Source organism: Homo sapiens, chromosome 7 (genome assembly GCF_000001405.40).
Source record: "Homo sapiens chromosome 7, GRCh38.p14 Primary Assembly".
NCBI classification, from domain to species: Eukaryota; Metazoa; Chordata; class Mammalia; order Primates; family Hominidae; genus Homo; species Homo sapiens.
This window is the reverse complement of record NC_000007.14, coordinates 28,387,736-28,411,503: the sequence shown is the minus strand read 5'-3', so window position 1 is coordinate 28,411,503 and position 23,768 is coordinate 28,387,736. Positions and strand designations below refer to the sequence as shown.

The window sequence follows — 23,768 nt, the reverse complement described above, 5'->3', positions numbered from 1 at the left end:
TCTTTATTTCAACTGCCAGATACGGAGGTTCTGACTCAGTTCAATGACTTACGTATTCGACTTCCTCTTTCAACATAGAAACTTAAGGTTAAGAGCTAGAAACTAACGCACGCAGCAATTTATTGTATGGAAGTTTAGGTTCAACGACTCACATTCCCTCACTTTGGAAATGAAACGTTTAGTCTTGATCCTTTCAGCTAAACCTGATTTTGTCAGCATCCCTCTTCTGCTAAAGGGCAGGCACTACGTAAAGTGAAATACTTTGTTTGCAGTGGGTGTATTGCTTTCCTAAGTCACCACCACGAGGACAGAGTATTATCATAACGCTTGCAAACATTTCCTGATTTGCCTTTTCTATCAGGACTAAGCATTTTCGCCCTAGAGGAGAAGGCTTACTGGTGCCTTTCTTAAATAATACAAAAGGGCGGATTGCGCGCTGATCAGGTACAGTGGTCCCCTCAGACCCCAGAAGCTTTTACCCACACTCCAGGGACCGTGCTCGCCCCAGGGAAAGCTGTAAAAAGGCGGGGGCGGGGCTAGAGTGATAACGGTGTAGACGGGGGAGTGGTGGAGAGGGAGGGGCTGGGAAGAGAGGGCAATAAAGATGCCCAGGGAGCCGGCGATTGCACGAGTGTGTTGTGGGGAGGGTAGGGGGATGCAAAGCAGAGTTGCTTTGTCAGCATTCTAAGCTCCTGAACCCTTGAGGAGCTCAAGCCGTTAATCAAACACTTACTGGCCTGCAGAATGACGTAATGGACCTGTATCCAGTCTTTATTCCTTGACACATGTCAGAGAAGGAGGGAAAAATAAAAATCAAACACATTCTGCAGACTGACAACGAAATATACAAGTAGCCCGCTCCAGTCCCCGGCCTTGAGCAAGCATCAAGTGGGGGCGGCACCGGTCCAGGGAAAGTTGGGGATGGGGGTGAGAGTGTGGACAAGGTCTAGGGCTTTATCTACCAGACGCCCCTTAAAAATAAATCTATGGCAAAGAAGAAGCGGGATGCAGCTGCTGAGAGAAAACATCTCCTTGGTTCCTTCCTTCGCATCTTGCCCCTCTAAGAACTTCGTGAAAAGTTCAAGTGATTCTGCCGAGAATCTGCCGCAGGGGGAGACTCCGCCGCCAGGTCTTGGGAATTGCCTGGGCGCCGCCAAAGCTCGAGCCGGAGCTGTCATTTGGGGCAGCGGCCGGGAAGAGGTAACGATGCCAGCAAGAAAGCAGCGGAGGCAGGAGGCGGCCGGAGGAGTGGACTGGAGCGGACGGAGCCTCGCCGCTCTCCAGCCCGGAGCGCCTGGAGCGAAAGCCAAGCGCCCTCCGAGGGCGACCTCCCCTCCCCGGGCGCGCGCCCACCCGCTGCAGCCGGCAGCCCGGCGGGAGAGGTGGCAGCTGCAGCTCCGCACCGGGGAGAGCGAGCCCCCTGCGCGCGCGCCCACCCGCCCCCTAGGTGACCCGGCGTCCTCGCCGCGCCCGCTGGAAGTTTGCAAACTTTCTCCGGGGGTTCCGCCGCCACGCTGGGAAGCTGGGGACGCGGGGGGAGGTTCCTGGCTCGCCGTCTCCGCTGCCGCTTGACCGCACTTCTGGAGGGCTCCGCACCTTGCCAGGTCTCTGGAGGCAAACACACACCCCCGATTCATAACTGGTCCCCGCGTCAGGGGACTCGCGCGCTCCCACACACGCACGCACGCCGGGCGGACTCGGCGCCGGCTCCACGTTAGCATCCCTCCAGGCGCGCGGCGCGGCGGCCACCGAGCGCTCCGGCACTCACGCGGCGCGGGGTCTCTAGGGTGGCCTCAGGACACAGCCGAATTCCACAGTCTACCAGCACTCGGGGCCGGACTTCCCTCTGGTCCGCCAAAATGTTTACAAACACAGATCACCCTCCAGAAAAAAATGCATCGCATCTTCCCTACTCCTTGCCCTGTGACCTGCCCACTGGACCAAGTAACCTCGCGGCTGCTGCCGAGAACCAACCCCTGCAAACAAGTACACTCCCGAGATGGCTCCTGCGGCAAGTGCAACAAAAGTGGCTAAATGCAAAAGCCCCAGAAGTGGCCGAGCCGTATTTTTAGGAACTTACCAAACAAGTGTGGAGAAGGCAAGAGCGGAGCCCGGGTGAAGGGACCACGTTGGACTGAGCAAAGATTACAATACATTCTATTTAGAGTGCATTACATCACCCCCCCGGTGACGTCACGTGGGATTCCTGAACTTCTAAATCATTGCGGTCCGCTGGGGAGGGACGGAGCGAGGGGCGGGGCCGGCGCGTCGAGGGGGCAGGCCCCGCCCCGGTCCCGCCCCGACCCCGCCCCGCCCGCGCGGACCCTGGTGCACCCGCCCGGGAGCGGCAGCGGCGGGGGCGACTGCGCAAGCAACAGCTTGCAGAGCCCAGCGCCGTGTGACACGGCTCCCTGACATTAGTGGTGTGAGTCAGCTTGGAAACAATCCTTATGGTTTCAGACAAGACCACGGAGGAGGCGCGGGCGTGGGCTCTTCTGCGGGGAGGGCCTGATGGGGTTTGAAAGGTGTAGGGATGGGGGTAGGGGAGAGGTGGGGAGGGGGATGCTGAAGGATGTGGGAAAAGACTTTGCAAACAGAAATGCAGGACGCTCCTCCCTCCCCCACCGGAGGATGTCCAGCTCCTTTTTGCTTGCGACAGTCATGACCTCATTTCAGTGCTCCCTGCATCCTGGCTTTTCAGAGCACTCACTTGTCACCCCTTCTTCACCGCCCCCTCATCTCACCTCCTCCAGGAGAATAACTTCCTTATGGTGCACACTCTCATGAAATACACAGCCCCACCCTTCGCGGGACCCCTGCTTCATGCGTCTGAGAAGCTGTAGGGAGAGTTGCTCCTAAGGCGAAAGGTGAATCACAGCTAGAGCCAAGTGATGAGCCTGATTTAGACACGGCGTCAGAGCCGAAAGGGCCCTTGGCTGTCACTTCCAGAGCCTCTTCGGTAACTGGCCCAAGCTCACGGGCTGGGGAGCGGCAGAGCCAGGGCCAGACTGCAGGATCCGGGCGCCTGGTCTGCAGCGAGAGGAGCCTGGCGTCTCCAGTATCCGGCCGTCACCATCACTGTCACCATCCCCCTGCTGAATTTCCTTTCAGAAGTTCTCCCTTTGAGTAGGATTCAAAGAGAAGGCATAGGCTAAATCCAGCCCGATTCTAGACGACCAATGCCAACCTCGCAGCCCCTCACACCTTACAAAGCGCTTGCGACCACGTGATTTCCCTTGTTTCTCACACCAACCCGGGTACCAGAAGTAGGACAGGTATTATAATTATTCCCATTCTACAGGTGAGCTAAGGCAGACACCAGAAGGTTGGGGGCTGGCCTGAGATCACTTGATGAGCAAGGGGTGGCACTGGGCCCAACTCAATCCCTGTTTTCAAGCCCAGATCCCAACTGGGCTCCTTCATAGAGCCAGGGGTAAGCATTCCCTTCTTGTGGGTTATTGGTGGTTGGAACCTCTGCTAAGAACACATTGGCTGGGAGATGGAGCTTTGCTTAGAAACAGTTTAGCCCTCGTTAATAAACAATAATCATTTCTGACATTTATGTAACATCTGACATTTATATAGTACCTCTCATCCCAATGCATCACAACCATGACGGTGCAGTTTGCCAGAGAATCATGACTGGACTGGCTAGAAACTGTAATACATTGCCTGGATTGTCACATACTTCTGAGCTGGTTTTGACATACTAAATGGAAGAGCTTAGCATGTTGTTTCTGTTTTTAAGTGTTTAAGTGGCCCCTTGCCCTTTAGTGTTCCTTGAAACCACAGGGACTGATGACTGTTTGATCCTCACAGCCTTATTCAGAGTTCATCACTGAGTTTTCTACTTATTGTAGAAATAAAATCATTGCAATTTCATGCAAAAGGTTTCTAGCTGTCATATTACAGACTGAGATTTTTACATATTCCAGATCTCACACACACACACAAATCATTTCTAAATGTAAACTGAAGAAAAGAAGAGGTATTTATTAGTGTAGATTCTAGTGTCAGCCTGCCTGAATTCAAATTTTAGCTCTGCTACTTGACGCCTGGTTCTCAGTTGCCTCAACTATGAATGAGGATGGTGATGATAACTACAGCGACTCGAGTTAAGAATTTTATTACTTGAGTTAAGAATTGTGCTTGGGGCCGGGCACGGTGGTTCACACCTGTAATCCCAGCACTTTGGGAGGCCGAGGCAGGTGGATCACCTGAGGTCAGGAGTTCGAGACCAGCCTGACCAACATGGTGAAACGCCCGTCTCTACTGAAAATACAAAAATTAGCTGGGTGTGGTGGTGGGTGCCTGTAATCTCAGCTACTCGAGAGGCTGAGGCAGGAGAATCGCTTGAATCTGGGAGGCGGAGGTTGCAGTGAGCTGAGATCACACCATTGCACTCCAACCTGGGTGACAAGAGCGAAACTCTGTCTCAAAAAAAATAAAAGGAAAAAAGAAAAAAAAGAATTGTGTTTGGCACAGGGCAAGTACTATGGAAGCACTCACTCTCTTTTTATTAATAAAGGTATTTTGGCTAATGCTGTGATAGGTGGGCATTTGGTGATTTTTTTTTTTTTACAAACTTAACTAAATAAATGAAAAGGGAACCTTTACCCCATAATTCCCCCAGCCCCACATTGCCTTCTGCATGTGTCATCTGGACCAAGCAGCCCTCTCATCTGTCAAATGCGCTGGCAGAGCCCCTGTGTTTGTGGACTCACATTTCTGCCTCATGCTCACTCAGTCTCTCCCAGGATTTCTCAGAGCCAGAGTTTCATGGAGGCTGCAGTTGCTGAGAGCAGCTATGCAAGAGCATCTCTAAGGGTGCCTCCACTGGCGGTGGCCATGGCCTGGGGCATTTGCCCCCTGGGGTGCCAGCACCACCACTAGGAATGCCCTCTCACCCACCAGGACTCCATCCATTGTGGCCTGTCAGACGTGTGGAGACAGGGGCGCTTACACCAGAACCAAGGTAAACTGGCTGGGGTACCACCCACCCAAGATTCTCCCGATGCTCATCCCATTTCCCTCCACAGAACAGGAGTATAGGCTGGACACAGCCAACCCCCGAGGTACCATTGGCGGTGGCAGAGAGGTTGGACCTATGCAGAGCTGACTGGCACCTGCAGTGACCAATGAGAATAGATGAGACCCCTGGGAGACCTTTAGTTGCTGGATCCTGGGCAGTGGAAGGGAGAGGACTAGGCAGCTGGGCCAGTGGGGAAGCACTAGGTATTTACCAACTCCCATGGAAGAATTTTAGTATTTTAAGACATTTACAGCCTTACTAGTGCTTAATCAGGCCTGAATAAAACCATCCCAAGAGGCCTCAGATGGGAAGAAATTCTTTAGCTCTGTACTTTGGGTTCAGTCATTTCTCCAACATTCGGCAAACATTAGCAGATCTGCCCAGTGCTGAAGTCAGAAAACAAAAAATGGTCTCTTTCTTCCCAGCTCCTAGGCTCCCAAAGAACTTCTCAAACTTAGTGGAGTAAGCAAAAAACACCCAGGCAACTTATTAAAGTCAGTTTCTTGAGTCAGACGTCCCCAGGGATTTTAGTTCCAAGGTTTGGCATTGGGTCCAGGATTCTGCATTTGTGATTCTGATGCAAGCGTCTGGGGAACTCCCCACCTACCACCACCACACACACATCCTTTGAGTGACTCTAGTTTAATGAATTCATAGATGGGCAGGGATCCAGGAGGAAGCTGATGACGGAGAAGAAAAGAGGTCAGCCTGAGACACTCAAAAATATGACCCAAAGTTCATATGCTTGAGATCAAGGCCAGGCGCAGTGGCTCACACCTGTAACCACAGCTCTTTGGGAGGCTGAGACGGGAGGATAACTTGAGCCTGGGAGTTCGAGACCAGCTTGGGCAACATAGACAGCCTGAGCGTCTCTACAAAAAGTTTTTAAAAATTAGCCAGGCATGGTGGTGTGCACCTGTGGTCTCAGCTACTCAGGAGGCTGAGATGGAAGGATTGTTTGAACCCAGGAGGATCAAGGCTGCGATGAGCAGTGACTGCGCCACAGCACTCCAGCATGGATGATAGAGTGAGACCCTGTTTCAAAAAAAGGAAAAGAGACCAATCCTCTAGCAGCTTCCCAAAAAGATGAACATATCCCTAGAGAAGGCTTCTCCTCATCCCTTCTGCCCACATCACTCAGAGTGACCTTTTCCCACTTCCAAAATTTTATTTTAGGCTTTTCTTAACTAAATTAACAGTGATGGGGAAAGGGATGCTGCTGAAGCCCATTTTGTGGTTAAACATCTAGCTATCGTCCCATTGGGAAGTTTCCATCCCTTCTAAAATGGGTCTTCACCAGGTTTCTTCATTACCTTATTTGAAGGGATAAAGATTTCCAAATAAATGAAACTGCAAAATGCATCCAAAACTGTGAAAACCACAACACTGTTAACTAACATTTACCAAGCATTTGCTCTGTGCCAACCCTTGAGCTAAGGGATTTATGTGCATTTTCTCTGTTAATCTTCACAACTCTGTGAGGCAGCTGGAACCTTACTCTTAGAAAGGCTGAGTAACTTACCCAGAATTGCACAGCTGGGGCATGGCAGAGATGAGAAAAGAACCCACATTGCTGTTGCCTGTCCCAGTGCCTGCCTGAAGGCACCCCATACTTTGGTAGTCCTGAGCACAAGTTGGTTTGAGGATGCAAGAATCAGGAAAGTTGAGAACAAGCCAGAGATTGGCAGTGAGTAGGAAAAGCCACCAGCCTCCATGCAAACTCTGTGCCTGGTTAATCAAAAGCCATTCCAGACAGACAGGACTGGCTTCATGGCCTGTGATACCTGGTCACACAGGGCCTCATCTCATGCTCAGAATGGTCCCATATTTGGTTTAAGGCTCACTGTCACCATCTTGAAATTCTTAATAATTTTATCTTTGAACTTATGCTTTATAAAAGAAGCCTGGTGGAGCATGTGCATGAGGAGGTTGGTGATCACGGCATGTCTGCTGTTTCTTGCTCATGATGCCTCAGGAGCACCAAATTCCAGTGGACCCAAGGTGCATGGAAATCCAGCAAGACTCAAATCAAATACAAGGTAAATTCATGATCTCTCTGACTGAGTGGGATGGGAGAGGAGAGGTGAGGCTGACAGCCCTGAGAGGTCACGCTTTCCTTTCAAACCAGAACTTTCTTGGGATGCAAAAAAAACCAATGGCATCCCAAGAAACATAAACAACCAAGAACCCTATCTTACCTGCATTAGGCCCCTGTGTTAGGCAACCACATACACTGAAAATGATGACATAGAAGGCAAGAGAAAGATAGGGCGGCCCATAGTTCTTTTTCTTTTCCATCTTTCCTCATCACAAGTAAACAGAAAGCAGAGAGTTGGCAGAACGTGTGCACATCAAGAAGTGAAATAAAGGTGGTTGAGCTTGTTTTGTACAGTGTATCCACGTTCTGGTAAGAACAAAATACATATGTATGTACGGGCCATGACATACAAATTATGGGATTTGAGTGATTTCACATACAAGTTAAGTGATCTTATATTTACATTTAAAACTAGCAGTGCAGGATGTAAAGATGAACAGTAAAATTAATGCTAATAATGTAACATTTTAATTTTTTGCTATTTAAAGTGACATTAAATAGCAAATAAAACATACCATGACAAGTCAAGAGACTGACTTTGCAAGAGAGAAAAAACTTTCTATTTATTATCTTCGGTGGCACTTTTCCCTTGCCTTTTAAACAAGAGGCCCTGCATTTTCAGTTAGCACTGGATTCAAAAATTATGTGTCAGGTGCTGCCCACAGACATATGATTGACAGGATCCACCAGACCCCCAGCTCCATGCTCACATGCTGAGAGGAAAGGCAGCAGACAGCAAGAGATTTGACAGCCGTAGCCTTGTCACTTACTAGGTGTGTGATCAGGGCCAATTTTTTTTTACCTCTCTGAAGTTCAGATTCTTCATCTACAAAATGGAGATAATATCAGCATCTATCTCCTAGGATACTGCAAGGATTCAGTGAGTTAATATATGTAACATGCTTAAAACAATGTCTGACACTAGTAGTTACTGAAAAAATAGTCTTAGATATTATTATGCCCTGTAAGGTTTTGGGGAGAATTTAATAAAATAATTCATGTCAAGTGCTTAGCCCTGTGCCTGGCATTTAGAATGTGCTCAATAAATATTAGTTACATAAAATTGCATATAAGATGTAATATTGAAGTTCTGTGGGTTAGATGGAGGAATCAATCCAACTGGCCCTGAGTCCAGTTTTTGAGTCTTAGCATAAGCCAGCTGTATTTGAAGGAGATGGTACCTTTAGGTTAACAAATCTGCACTGAGTCTGTGGGCAACAGAGCAATTTTATACAAGCTGATGTTCTAGTTGAAGCCATCACACTTTACCCTTCCAGTCTTGACATACAAATGCATTTTTACACCAGTGGTTGTATAATTATTAACCCTAGTATGATTTAGTTTTCAGAATCACATCTTGAAATCCTAACAGGTGTAACTCAAAAATGCCATGCTCTTGGATTGGAGGTGCAGGTGCGTATCAACTTTGAAATGTTGTTTAACAAGAGACAACTAGACTGTAAAAATTTTCTCCCATGCTGTAGATTGCCTATACACTCTGATGGTAGTTTCTTTTGCTGTGCAGAAGCTCTTTAGTTTAATTAGATCGCATTTGTCAATTTTGGCTTTTGTTGCCATTGCTTTTGGTGTTTTAGTCATGAAGTCCTTGCCCATGCCTATGTCCTGAATGGTATTGCCTAGGTTTTCTTCTAGGGTTTTTATGGTTTTAGGCCTAACATTTAAGTCTTTAATCCATCTTGAATTAATTTTTGTATGAGGTGTAAGGAAAGGATCCAGTTTCAGCTTTCTACATATGGCCAGCCAGTTTTCCCAGCACCATTTATTAAATAAGGAATCCTTTCCCCATTGCTTGTTTTTGTCAGGTTTGTCAAAGATCAGATGGTTGTAGATGTGTGGTATTATTTCTGAGGGCTCTGTTCTGTTCCATTTGTCTATATCTCTGTTTTGGCACCAGTACCATGCTGTTTTGGTTACTGTAGCCTTGTAGTATACAGCTTGAAGTCAGGTAGCGTGATGCCTCCAGCTTTGTTCCTTTGGCTTAAGATTGTCTTGGCAATGCGGGCTCTTTTTTGGTTCCACATGAACTTTCAAGTAGAGGGTTAATATCCAGAATCTACAAAGAACGTAAACAAATTTACAAGAAAAAAATCAAAGAACCCCATCAAAAAGTGGGTGAAGGATATGAACACACACTACTCAAAAGAAGACATTTATGCAGCCAACAGACACATTAAAAAATGCTCATCATCACTGGCCATCAGAGAAATGCAAATCAAAACCACAATGAGATACCATCTCACACCAGTTGGAATGGTGATCATTAAAAAGTCAGGAAACAACAGGTGCTGGAGAGGATGTGGAGAAATAGGAACACTTTTACACTGTTGGTGGGACTGTAAACTAGTTCAACCATTGTGGAAGACAGTGTGGTGATTCCTCAGGGATCTAGAACTAGAAATACCATTTGACCCAGCCATCCCATTACTGGGTATATACCAAAAGGATTATAAATCATGCTGCTATAAAGACACAAGCACATGTATGTTTATTGTGGCACTATTCACAATAGCAAAGACTTGGAACCAACCCAAATGTCCATCAATGATAGACTGGATTAACAAAATGTGGCACTATACACCATGGAATACTATGCAGCCATAAAAAAGGATGAGTTCATGTCCTTTGTAGGAACATGGATGAAGCTGGAAACCATCATTCTCAGCAAACTATCGCAAGGACAGAAAACCAAACACCGCATGTTCTCACTCATAGGTGGGAATTGAACAATGAGAACACTTGGACACAGGATGGGGAACATCACACACCGGGGCCTGTCGTGGTTGGGGAAAGGGGAGAGGGATAGCATTAGGAGATATACCTAATGTAAATGACGAGTTAATGGGTGCAGCACACCAACATGGCGCATGTATACATATGTAACAAACCTGTACGTTGCGTACCTGTACCCTAGAACTTACATTATAAAAAAATAAAAAATTAAAAAAATTAATTAATTAAAAAAAAAATAACAATAGACAGCTAGATCACCTGGTTTAAGCTTGGGGAACCTCATCTGGAAGACCATTGGCTGCTAATGGCTTGACCTGGTTCTATAGGGAATTATTGTATTCACTACTCTATAAAATTTAATGTTTTCTCTTGAACCTGGCTGAAAATCAAAAGCTTCACCTATCTCAAAGAGTATTAGCATGTTAACATCCCTATAAAAGTTGCTCTTATCTTAATGTGTTTTTCTTTCTTTGAAAGCGACTCGATTAAAGGAAAAACTACTTAGTCTTTATTTTTTCTGCTTTGAGATTAAGTGAAAGAGATTGACACCTGCTCTGAATAATGACCCAGAATAATAGTGCCGTGTCAGCACACTCCAAAAATTTTAGTCATTTCCTTAAGATCAATGGTAAGTGGAAAGTAATGGTTTAACAATAATTAGGAATGTTTTATATACAGGGAAGTTTCATTTAGACTAAAACATTATTGATATCCCATAAATTAATATTGAGCATCATCTCACATGAACTGATATTTCACATAGCACTTCTTTTTGTATCATCATTAACCACATATTTAACTCATGTACTGCCGATGGGGAAGGTTATTCTCATCTCTTTAGGGGCATTTATAAGTACCTTTTTAAAATGATTCTTGAGAATTTCAGTAGCTTTTAAACCTAATTGATCAGCGATTCCTCCTCGTTCTTACATGACACAGAATATTTAAAATCTGGGAAGTTACTCTGAACTTCATTTGAATCTTGAATATTACCCACTGTGGATATCAGAAAATATAAAGCTTCCCTACCTGGCTCTCCTCCCCCTTCCTGGTTTTAAAATATTCTGCCTATAGCTTTCATAACAATGCCCTTACTTGACACTTAAAGAGACTGCAGTATAAACAGTACACTGGGACATTGTGCTGTTTAGCAAAAGCATCTATTTTCAGGACTGCTGTGGCTATTTAATGCTATGTCAAAGTCTGAAGGGAAGGAAAGAACACTATTATTTGTGAGCACCCACTCTGGGTCAAGCCTGTTATATCTTCCATCATGTTTAATCCTGACAACTCTGGGTGAAAGGTATGATTACTACTATTTTATTAATGAGAGAACTGAAGCTCAGTGAGGCTAAGTAATTTGAATAAGGTCACGCAGGTAATAAGTAAGGAAGTTGAGTTTCAAACCTAGTCCTGACTCCAGAATCCCCATTGTCCATCATGCTCTGCTGTGTTTTTATTTCAAGACACTTTGTCTCTCCTTTCACCCTCCTGCTTAACATTATTTAGCTTTATTGAGCAAGCTACCCACAAAACGTGTGTGTGTGTGTGTGTGTATCTGTTTCAGACAGAGTTTCGCTCTTGCCACCCAGGCAGGAGTGCAATGGCACTATCTCGGCTAACTGCAACCTCCACCTCCTGGGTTCAAGGGATTCTCCTGCCTCAGCCTCCCGAGTACCTGGGATTACAGGCACCTGCCACCACGCCCAGCTAATTTTTGTATTTTTTTTAGTGGAGACAGGGTTTCACCATGTTGGTCAGGCTGGTCTCGAACTCCTGACCTCAATTGATCAACCCACCTCGCCTCCCAAAGTGCTGGGATTACAGGCGTGAGCCACCACGCCCAGCTGTACTTTTTAATTTTATGTTTAGTAGAGACAAGGTCTTGCTATGTTGCCCAGGCTGATCTCAAACTCCTGGGCTCAAGCAATCCTCCTACTCAGCCTCCAAAAGTGCTGGGATTATAGGTGTGAGACACTATGACAGGCCAAATTTCTGTATATGGTAAGAGGTAGGGGTCCAGTTTCATTCTTCTGCATATGGTTAGCCAGTTTTCCCAGCACTATTTATTGAATAGGATATTCTTTCTCCATTGTTTATTTTTGTCAACTTTGTCAGAGATTAGTTGGTTGTAGGTGTATGGCTTTATTTCAGGGTCTCTATTCTGCTCCATTGCTCTATGTGTCTTTTTTTTTTTTTTTTTTACCAGAATGATGCTGTTTTGTAATATAGTTTGAAGTCAGGTAATGTGATGTTTCTGGCTTTGTTCTTTTTGCTTAGGATTGCCTTGGCTGTTGACTGAAGCCATTTTCCTATCACTTATTTTGTAGATTTTTTTTTTTCCAATTTGTCTTTTTACTTTTAGCTTTGTCTATGCTGTCTTTTGCCATATAGAACTTTTAAATTTCGATATAGTCAACTTTTTGTTATGATGTCAATACTTGGGTTCATGATTCTAGAAAGGCCTTCCCCACTCTTATATCAGCTCTCTGTTACATCTTACCTGGCCCCTTCAATTTTTCCCGTGCTCTTAGTTTAGCAACTGCAAAATGGTAACATAATGATAGGTATGTATAATAGAACATCAGACGGGAAGAAAAAATATTAGACCAGGTGCGGTGGCTCATGCTTGTAATCCCAGCATTTTGGGAGGCCAAGGCAGGAGAATTGCTTGAGCCCAGGAGTTTGAGACCAGCCTGGGCAACATAGTGAGACCCTGTCTCTACAACAAAATTTTTTAAAAATTAGCCAGGTGTGGTAGTGCATGCCTGTGGTCCCAGCTGCTCGGGAGGCTGAGGTGGGAGGATCGCTTGAGCCTCAGAGGCCAAGGCTGTAGTGAGCCATGATCCTGCCACTGCATTCCAGCCTGGGCAACAGAGCAAAACCCTGTCTCAAAAATAATAATAATAATATTAATTGTCTGATCTTACCAAATAATATAGTTGCATAAATTTACTTTAATTTCAAGAGAAGACTTTTCAACATCTGGGCATAATATACAGTTTAGAAAGACACTAAGTCCAGCATGCGATTTGCTATAAAGCAATATATATTCTCCCTATTAGCTATGGAAATAGCAGTATAGGAAGCTGAATGATTTTTAAACTTGAAGCCCCTGATGATTCCATTGATATGGGATAGCAAAGGTTCATATTTGTAAACTGATTCATCAGCTTAGCACAACATCCTGGCCTTCTTGCTTAGTTGTTAGAACTACCCGCAGGCTAGTAAGTGATGCTAAGTTAGCAGTGCTAAGGCTGACTTGCACCCTGATGTCTACCTTTGCCACAAAGCCTCCATTATTCTGGAACTATTCTATGGCTGCTATTCCTTCACCATGGAGCGCTCTACTCATGAGGCCCGACACAAAAAGCAAACACTAAAACCTGGAATTAAGTCAAATACACAATGAAGGAGAAAATGGTGGTACCATTAAAGGTGGTAGAGCCTGGTACTTAAACCTGGGGCTTTAATCTCAGGTTTCATGAGTTCAAATCCCAGATCCAAGAGGAAGGGGAAATGAGGAGTTACTGTTTAATGGCGACAAAGTTTCTCTTTGGGAATATGAAAATATTCTGGAATTAGATAACAGCAATGGTTATCTAACATTATAAATGTACTTAGTATCACTGAATTGTACATTTTTAAATGGTTAAAATGGTAAATTTTGTTATATATATTTTACATAATAAAAAATGATGAAAAAAAAGAATCCCGGTTCTACCTGTTACTAGCTCCATAGGCAAAAGTTAATACACCTCCCTCTCTATGCTGCAGTGCACTGATCTGCAGAATAGAAGAGATGACAATGATACTGGCTTCATAGGGTTGTCATGATTAAATGAGACACATGGGACAGGCTTTCAGTGGTTCATAGTCATCACGTTTAGGTGTTGTGATGGTTTAGGAGTACGGATCCTGTTTTTAAACTCTCTTGCATCTGTGGTATAGTCCTCCATTTGTCAGATTTCATGTACAAACCACCAATTTCAGTTTTGCTTATAAGACAGATTTTTATCTGTTTGATATCTTATGTGAGACTTTAATTACTCTTAAAAGATGCCAATGATTCTAGCCCAAATAAACTGACTGAGGGGCAGCTGTGGCCTGCTTGAGTCTCCTAGATGCAAATTCTCAATACCCCCACAATCTGGAGGGAGAGGGAGATGCTGTCTACTCCAGAGGCTGGCTCTAACCCAAGAGGGCCAAACAGATGGGATCCTTACGTCTCCTTATCTTTTCATGTCCGACCCACCCTATCCCAAGTTTTGTTTCCCCAAATAGATCCTTCTGGAATACAGCTGCCATCACTCATTTCATTGTCAAGGGGTGAATGGCTGCCTTCTGTAGAGGAATACCACTCTGTAAATCAGCCACCAGGCACTGTTTATCCCAATGATGGATGTCACACATCCTCACATATGGGACCTAAACCAAAGCTCTGGACTTCTTTTTTTTCAATCCATGTGTTGGAGTTTTTTTCCTCTGTATTTTCAACTCATTACACTGCGCCTTTAAAATAAATTCTTCCTGAGAAATCAGTTTCCACATATCATTTAACCGTCTAATGCTAGGCATTGTTATGAACAAAAACACTCCTCAAGAAAATATCTACATAGCCTTATGGCATCTAAGATGTATTATAAAGCAATCTTGCTTTATAAAAAGAGACTCAGGTTTGTTTCTTCCTTTTATACTGAAAGCCTAGTGAAATGAATAAGGGATAAATAATCCAGTGTATAAGGAGGAAGAGAAGGTAAAGGGAGATGAAGGCAGAAAGACATAAGACAAGACAGGGCCAGAGAAGAATTCAGAACTTATGGCTTTATTTTTGCAATGTTACTGGGTATTTCTGAACTTGCCAGAATAAAAATGAAGTAATAGCAGCCAAGAGTTATAGTCCTGTTTTAAAATTTTAAAAATTGCAATTAAAATGATTAAACTAAGTAAAACAGACACAGGAAACTTATAGAAAAAAATATATTTCCTGTGCACTAAGCCTCTGATCCCATTAAGTACTTAAATAATATCCTCCTGACATCATGACTATACAAATAATATGTTACTTTCATATTTATGACATCAAGAGATTATATTACTAGTTTATGAAAAAATATGTTTAATTTGCAATTTTTAAATGACACTGATATAGATTAGTATATATTATAGAATTAGATACGTATGCCATACCAGCTAGTTGTATATTTTATTATAAACATCCCCAACAGGTGCAAAAATACCACCTAAAATGAAACAAAAGATCATGTATCTTATAACAATAAAAGCATATCTGCCTTGCATCCAAAAAGAAGGGGAAGCATATGTATATTTCCATCCCACATCCTTCTTTCTAGAGCTTTATCTAACTCTTTCTCAGGCACCATGCCATGTATCTCTAAGCCTTTGTATCTTCTGATTAAAAGAAAATAGTGTAGAATCATGTTTGCTACAGTCTGCTGCCAAAAGCCCATGTCTATAATTCATCATTAAAATGTGACAGTGTATGGCTACAAAGAAAGAAAAATCTCAGTCGTCATGCTCATTTGCAAATGTTTCAGGGGCTGGAGATTGTTTGGCAATCCTGCTGTTTCTAGGTTATTTGTAGAATAACCAGTTTAATTGAGCTGATGATTGCCTTGTGTCTGCATCACACTTCTGACTTAGATCTTTCTTTCTGCAGTTGGCGTTGAATTGTACTATGTGGCAAGGGAATGGCATGCATTCAGCAAGCCCAAATTCCAGGGTTCCAGCCCACCCCTTCTTTTCCCTTGCCAATCTGATTTCTGAGGAATTTGCCTAGAGTTACTACAGAAAAAAAAAAGAAAGAAAGAAAGAAAGAAAAAAGAAACTCCTTGCCCTAGTTTGTAGACCATTTCATAGAATGCTTCCTTTGGGTTGAGATTCTTGGCCCCACCAGGGTAAAAAGGTTTTATATCTTTATTAAAGCAGAGGCCTGTTTCGGATGTTCTCTGTAATTGGAGCATATCCCACTGCATGTAGTACACAATGTAAACCAACCTGTTGCAACGTGGAGAATAGTGCAAGTCAGATATTTGCTACCCAAGGAAGCCAGTTGGAAAAAGAAAGGAGTAGGGGAGAACCTGGTTTCACACCAACCCTGTCCTGACATGCACTAAGGCTGTATCGTGAAGGAAATTGAAAACAGAAACATCAGGAAGATCAGTGAGAAGGCAGGACCTCTCTTTCTTCCTTTTCTTTGTTCCTAACAAATATTCATCTTCACCTACTGTAAATCATGTCTCTGGAATGAGGATTGTATAAAAGGGAAGTTTGTATCACAGAACAAGTGTGGAAAGAAACTGTCCTTGACCACTAATAGATATGGCTACATCCTCCTTTGGAATGGGTTTGTTGCCCTTGAGAATAGATGAATACTCCAAACTAATTGCATTTTGGAATCTGAGAGTATGATGAGATTGACAGACGTCATTTAAAATGGTTTTTGTTTAAATGAAGACCCTAATATAGACAATTTTCCAAGGAAGATTTAGACAATATTCTCGAATATATAGTAAAATTTTAAAACCCTAAATTTTTTTCTCCTAAGACCCCCAGGGAAGTAGCTGTCATCCTTTTCCCCCTTCAGGGAATAGAGATAATCTGTGTCTTTTCAAAGCAGAAAGGAAGATAGTTTGATGAACATTTCCCAGTACATAGAAGTCACTCCAATTCAAAGAAGTTCTAAAAGCAAAAGGTGTGGCAAAGCAACATAGGAAAATAAGATAATTATTTTATTCTTTCTTTATAAAAATCAATAAAATGCAATGGTTAGAGGATGAATTTCTAAATGGGCTTCTCTTCATGACAAACTTTTTAGGAACATTGTTCTATTCTTGGTGAAGCCAAATCAGACTTGAACACTCAACAGGCATGCATATCACTAAATTACAGTGTGCACACTGTCAAATGTAGGGGAAATTTGGCTGTGCTGAATGTGAAAAGGTGGGGGACCCTCTTTTAACATAAATTATATATGAGGAAAAAGCAAGGGCTCTTAAGAACACCTAGCCCTCTGCTTAACTGTTACTAGCCTTAAGGACTAACTTATCTGAAATTAATACAGCGACTCCAGATTTATTTTTAGTAGTATTAGCATGGTGTACCTTTCTCCCTACCTTTACTTTTAATCTACATGTGTTTTCATATATAAAGTGGGTTCTTGTAGACAGCATATAGCTGGGTCTTATTTTTTTTAATCTACTCCATTAGTCCCTGTCCTTTACTTGGCTTACTTAAGCCATTCACATTTAAAGTGATTATTGATGTAGTTGGATTAATATCTACCCTATTTGTAACTGTTTTCTATTCATTACCCTTGTTTCTTTTTCTTTGTTTGCTTTCTACTCTTTTTATGCCTTCTCTGTATTTAATGGAATATTTTATATGATTCCATTTTCTCTCTTCTCTTAAAATATCAATTATATTTCTTTTTTTAAAAAAATGTGGTGGTCACCCTAGAGTTTGCAATATACATTTACAACCAATCCAAGTCCACTTTTTTTTTTTTTTTTTTTTTTTTTTTTTTTTTTTTGAGACAGAGTCTTGCTCCATCCCCCAGGCTAGAGTGCAGTGGCATGATGTCAGCTCACTGCAGCCTTGACCAGGTTCAAGTGATTCTCCTGCCTCAGCCTCCCCAGTAACTGGGACTACAGGTGTGCACAACTGCACCTGGCTAATTTTAGTATTTTTGGTAGAGATGAGGTTTCACCATGTTGGCCAGACTGGGCTCAAACTCCTGACCTCAGGTGATCCACCTACCTTGGCCTCCCAAAGTGCTGGGATTACAGGCGTGAGCCACCGCGCCCAGTCCCAAGTCCACTTTAACACTACACCATTTCACAGGTAATGCAGGTATCTTGTAACAGAGAATTCCCAATTCCTCCCCTCATCTCTTACAATGTTGCTCTCATTCCTTTCACTTATTCCTAAGCTATAGTCCCCCAATATATAGTTGCTATTATTATTTAGAACAACCTGTTTTTTGTTAGACAGCTGTTGAGCTTCAGTTAAGAAGATGGCAGTGTTGACTGCCAAGCTCTTTTTATGTCAGACTAGAAGCCAAAAGTTGACCTGAATTTTCACCACAATAAGACTAGGTGAGAACATAGGACAGGTAATTAGGATCTAGAAGAAAAAGCAATGATACCAGAATCCACAATCAATCATCAAAATATCAAAGTAACCAAGAAAAGTTTAAATGAGTAGAGAGATGGGCAGAAATAGAGCAGAGAGAAGAAACAGGGGAGAGTTGTTTGAAAATCTAAACCTTTAGCTCGCTGCTTTGTGAAATGCAGTCTGAGGAAGCAATGATTTTGAGAGACGAGTCAGACTCAGTAAAAATATTTGAAATTTCTTGACTTAAAAACATTGCTATGGCTGGATATGGTGGCTCACGCCTATAAATCCCAGCACTTTGGGAGGTCAAGGTGGGTGGATCACCTGAGGTGAGGAGTTCAAGACCAGCCTGATCAACATGGAGAAACTCCGTCTCTACTAAAAATAACATAAAATTAGCCAGGCGTGGTGGCACATGCCTGTAATCCCAGCTGTTTGGGAGGCTGAGACAGGAGAATCGCTTGAACCTAAGAGGCAGAGGTTGCGGTGAGCCAAGATCACACCATGGCCCTCCAGTGTAGGCAACAAGAGCGAAACTCTGTCTCAAAAAAAAAAAAAATTGCTGCTTTGTGGGTTGAGAGAGATGGCTTTAATTAAAAAGGACAATTGAGTAAACAAAGAGGGTCTGAGGTGGCAGTAAACCTGCCCTCACCACAGCTGAAATCATGTCATGAGACAGATGAGGTCTAGTTACGGGACTAAGGTGTAACCTGTACCTCGAAAATCTCTTCTGTCCTCCTGATCTCCTTTTCTATATGTATAAAAATGAGGATTTGACTAGATGAACTATCAGATCACTCTAAACTGAAATTCTAAGAGTCTATGAAAGGCAGATAGGCAGTGGAAATATTGATCTATCATCAGTCAAGGTCAAGAGTGAATTAGAAAGACCCCAAAGTGAAACCTACAAGGCAAATATTGCAAAACCCATAACATGTAATCCCACATAAACCTGGGCTGTCAGAAGCAAGGCATAACATGTATTTGGTTGGTGCAAAAGTAATTGCGGTTTTTGCCATTGAAAATAATACCAAAAACCGCAATTATTTTTACACCAAGCTAATAGAATTACCCAGCCACTTGAAGAGAATCAAAGAGGCAACCACAGCCAGAGACCAGGATCTGCTGAGGCTTAGAGCAGTCCCTTAGATCAAGAATGGTGAGAAGCATGCTCTTTTTTAAAGAAATTTTTCTTTATTTTTTTAAACTTTTATTTTAGGTTCAGGGGTACCTGTGCAGGTTTGTCATATAGACAAACTCATGTCACAGAGTTTTGTTGTACAGCTATTTCATCACCCAAATACTAAGCCTAGTACCCAACAGTTATTTTTCCTGATCCTCTCCTTCCTCCCTCCGTCCACCCTCAGGTAGGCCCCAGCGTGTGTTGTTCCCCTCTTTGTGTCCATGTGTTCTCACCATTTAGCTTCCACTTACAAGTGAGAACATGCGGTATTTGGTTTTCTGTTCCTCCATTACATTGCTAAGAAAAATGGCCTCCAGCTCCATCCATGTCCCTGCAAAGGACAGGATTTTGTGAAAAAATTCCCTTTGGCATTCCTAGAACAGCCACATTAGGAAAGGAGAGATGTCCTCTGGAGGGACCCCGGCTAGGAATGCAAAGGCTAGTGGGAAGCAGACCCCAAAACAGCAAATAAAATAGCTGCTTATTACATAGAAGGTAAAGAGCAAGGAACACTGGGGGTGGATAAATAGAAAAGGAAAAAGGAGACAGAGATGGAAGATTGATTTGTTGTTCTGATATTTGGTGAGAAGAACCACATCCAGTCCTTCCCAGAGGACATGGGAATACTTAGATTGGGTTGAAAGCAAATTATATAGGTGGCTGTCACCAAAAAGCACACTGAGGGATGCCAAGTGATTGACCATCAGAATTGGAGTAGATCTTATATCACAGCAAAGTTTGTGGTGGCACAGAGCAATTCTTCAATGGCCAGTTGCTCTGATTTCATTTACTTTACGCTGTAATTATATTGGAAAGCATGAAAACATTTTGAATACAAGTTTTATTTACTCACATGATTACTTTTCAAAACATTCATTCTATGGCACATAACGGCCGATTAGTAGCTACAAATGAAATCCAATTAAACGACCAGTGAGAAAAGATGGAGGAAAAGGCAAAACATCTGTGAAGTGCTTATGTGCCACACTGTGTGTTGGCTACTGATATTTGAACTTATTTGATCAGCACGCCACCCGTTAAGAGAGGTGTGATTATTACCACAGGTCTGAAGACCATGCCAACGTATGTGAAAAAAATTTTGATAAAATTATGATGTAATATTAATTTGAAATAGAACAGAAAACTGAGCGATGATACAAACATATTTGTTTTACCTAGTGGATAATTTTAAACTAAGAAACGAATAGCCAATGTGCTAGGATGACAAGACTGAATAGATTGTTTTCTCTATTTTAAAATATCTACAAAACACAATTATCAACAAAGACTTGAAAATTCAATAAAAGTAAAATAAATATACCAGGAGGAAAGTGCTATACATATATTATATTATATTATATTATATTCAACCCATCTTTCAAAGAGTTAAAAGTGCATAAGGAAACGCTAAGTTTGAGTTCGAATCATAAACTTGACTTGAACTCTGTTGTCAATTGCCAGGGAAAGCATTCCAGACTCTAAGAACTGTTTGAAATTTTTTTTCCTTCAGAGCATCAAGAAAATGCTAGAGGGCTTACAGGGCTCCTGGCATGTAAATTGTAGCCATCAGGAGAAAACCCCACTGTACTACAATGTGACACTTTCCAAGTCTTTATCCTATGGTCCCTTAAAATGCTGCTATACAGAGATGGTAAAAAAGAAATACAGAACTCTTCTGGTTTGAAATCAGCCAAGTGGTGCGGAGGAAGAAGAAGCACTTTGCCAAAACCCCACGGTTAAAAGTAATAAAGGGAGAAGTTTCTGTCAGTATCTAGAAGAGTTTTGTAAACAATTAGCTGCAAGACATCAGAGGCTCCAAAAGGAAAGATTTCTTTTCAGTACCACGTTTGGCAAGTGATCAGTAACATATTTCATTTCTGGTTTAATAAGGTTATTAACAGTTTATTTTTAAAAAGAGTGAAATAATGTTTTCTGTGAAGGTTTGCCGATAAGCATTAGTGCAGTAAAGAATTGTGTGCCTTTTTATGAACGGACTGCACAGTAGAATAAAACACTATCTACATGAGCTTTCACACAGCAGAGCAATTAATTAACTTATCTCCGTGAACACCGTTCTTGCTGAAACTTATTAAAAGTCTGATTCATCAGCAGAGCCCCAGGCAATCATCAATTGCCTCATAATAATACAAAAGACAAATAAGCGATGGTTATGTTCTCATTTAATATCTTAAGAAGATCCTCTTTGCCCTCTGTCTTTGTTTGAAAATATCTCTATTAAGAGTTTGAAAAAAAAAAAAACCCTCCTACTTGACATGAAATACGTTATGACCGGGAACTGTAGGAGTAAATTACAGAGCCTCCAGGATACCAGATTAAGAGGAGAAGCTGGACTTTCTCAAAGACACACAAATCATTCAACATGTAGCACAACAGGGCATACAGTGTGTTATCGATGCCGAGTTCCAAGCACCATTGTTAATACAGACCAGAAGAGGAATTGTTCATTAAATAATACAAGGGGGAGGGGAGGGGCCGCTCAGACTTCTGCATTAAATAAGCCAGCAGAGGGACGCTTGTTTCAAAAGTATTAGACAGCTTAATAGTTACTAGTCCGCTTAGAGTTTTGGTTTAAATTTAACTCCCAAATATCAATCTAACGACTTCTAAGCAGAAACTGTAGTTTATGAACCCTTTAAAAAAAAAAAAAAAAGTTTAGTATAGTTGGCAATATCAATAGCGCCCTCTACAGGAAGTTTTAAACCCACAACTGGTTTTCTTGAATTTGAAGACAAAGGCTAAGTAAGGTGAACACCATCTGAGGACAAGATTAAATTGAAGAAAAATTTGGAATGTCCATGAGGTCTCCATTTTACATGGAGATTTGGGAATTTGGAACAAAGCAAAATAAAACCACAGCCAGTAGCCCTGGATTAGTGTGCGTGTGTGTGTGTTTGTGCACGTAGTTGTTGTTGGTTTGTTAACACTGGGTCATTTGAGAGAGGTCAATTGAAATTCCTAATCCATCTTATTTTCTTTATGTTGAAATCTCAAAATTAGTTTTCTCTAGTCTCAGATTTGCTAGTTGCAATATTATACAGCATTACTCAGATCTTTTTAAGATGCAAATAGTGTTCACTGTTTTCAGAATGCATACATAACTAATGTGCAGATTTTTCAAATTATTTCCCCAATATTCAGTAAATAATGAACGTGAGGCTTTTGCATGTGAGAAAGCTCTGACGCTGTTGATAAACTATGCCTGTATGAATCCTAAAGAGATGGCTGTTTAATTACTACAAATAGTTCCTCTCCATGATTAGTGGTTCGGCTTCAAACTTAGAAACCAGGATGTGCTTGAAGAAATAGTTACAACTAAATTTTCTACACATGTCACCACAGCCTTGAAAGTCAGAGATGCAGTCTTCTTATCTCACAGCTGTAATATATCAAATGACCTTGTGACAATGATTTAATCTCATCTTATTTTAGCAAGTTATCATAATTTGGGAGAAATTTACTACTGATTTCAGAGATACCTCAAGAGTTATTAGGACTGATACAACAAATGCCAGCTCTAAGAGTTGAGGCATTATGCGTGATTGAGAAAGAAGTAAGCAAGGAGTTCAGAGGCTCAGTTTTGGTTTTCTACTATTGCTGTGTCTTGTTAGAGTCAACTAATTTTTTTGCGCCTTAGTTTCTTCATCAGAAAAATGATGAAAAGCTTCTGTCTGGAGAAATACTTGGAACTAGGTACCTAGAAATGCTGGATGAAATATACTAAACAACCATTTAATTGTTGAGCTCATAAGAAAGGAAGGGTAAACAAATAGTTGAGCTCATTACGGGCTGGAAAGCAGGTGTTAGCTGAATCTATGGCTGCCCTGTAGGCATCTGCCAATCTTGATAACCAAGAGGTTTGGATTTTAATGGCCACACTGAGGCCTAAGCAAGATGGGGAATTGAACCGAGACCTTACATAAAACCAAAATAATGAAGGGTGCAACTTCCACAGAAACCACATAAAGAGAACGAGGAAATCTTCTCAGCCTGGGCTCTGGGTCAGAATATTACATATTCTCTGAAAATTCATAACCACAGGCTTGTCCCTCAAAGGTCTGGCATTAAATTGATACTACCTGTGCAATTCAGAAAACCTTAGGCCAACAAATTAATCTAATGTGGACTCAGATGGGTAGTGACCTGCAGGGCCTGGCAGAAGTAGATGTAGATTCTCTCTTAGGAACTCACCCTCAACTCAGGTCTTGCAGGATTCCTCCAGATACAGCTGAATAGGAACTTAAAATCCAAAAGTACAAAGTACATGAGGAAATAGGCTCCATGATTGAGAGTCAGCAAAAACAACAGCTGAATTAGACCCTCAAGAATTTGAAATATTGAAATGGATGATGCAGAATAAAATAACCAAGTGTAAAATGTTAGTGAAATAATACGAATATGAAATAAAAACCTGAGAAAGTAATAAGGTACTCTCAAAACACCACATATTTTTTTCTTTCTTTTTCTCTTTTTTGAAAACATTTTAAGTTCAGGGGTCCATGTGCAGGATGTGCAGGTTTATTACATGGGTTTATTACATGACACCATGT

At 42.2% G+C, this 23,768-nt stretch overlaps 1 protein-coding gene across 8 annotated transcripts in view, besides 3 other annotated features; it reads right to left on the bottom strand.

The window, feature by feature from the left end:
- CREB5 (cAMP responsive element binding protein 5) overlaps positions 1-23,768 on the bottom strand; it is a 526,574-nt gene that overhangs the window by 414,391 nt on the left and 88,415 nt on the right. For 6 of the 8 annotated variants that reach the window (XM_017012808.2, XM_017012806.2, XM_005249906.2 and 3 more), the window contains exon 1: positions 2,081-2,136. The exons of 1 other annotated variant lie outside the window; for it this stretch is intronic. Coding sequence is in view for 1 of the 7 variants with exons in the window: in XM_017012807.2 (XP_016868296.1) it covers positions 734-823 (90 nt within the window). In the remaining 6 variants the exon portion in view is untranslated. Of the gene's footprint in view, positions 1-733; positions 1,609-1,768; positions 2,137-23,768 lie in introns of those variants that run through there. One more of the 8 variants, XM_017012807.2, reaches the window with a different exon arrangement.
- Positions 2,262-2,331: a silencer, noted in NCBI's record as "silent region_18045". NCBI's record gives its function as "represses an Ori minimal core promoter by ATAC-STARR-seq in GM12878 lymphoblastoid cells {active_cell/tissue: GM12878}" and the evidence as "EXISTENCE:reporter gene assay evidence [ECO:0000049][PMID:35858748]".
- Positions 2,262-2,594: a biological region, named in NCBI's record as "Sharpr-MPRA regulatory region 5389".
- Positions 2,300-2,594: a silencer, noted in NCBI's record as "tiled region #5389; K562 Repressive DNase matched - State 10:DNaseD". NCBI's record gives its function as "represses a minimal TATA promoter and a strong SV40 promoter by Sharpr-MPRA in K562 cells {active_cell/tissue: K562}" and the evidence as "EXISTENCE:reporter gene assay evidence [ECO:0000049][PMID:27701403]".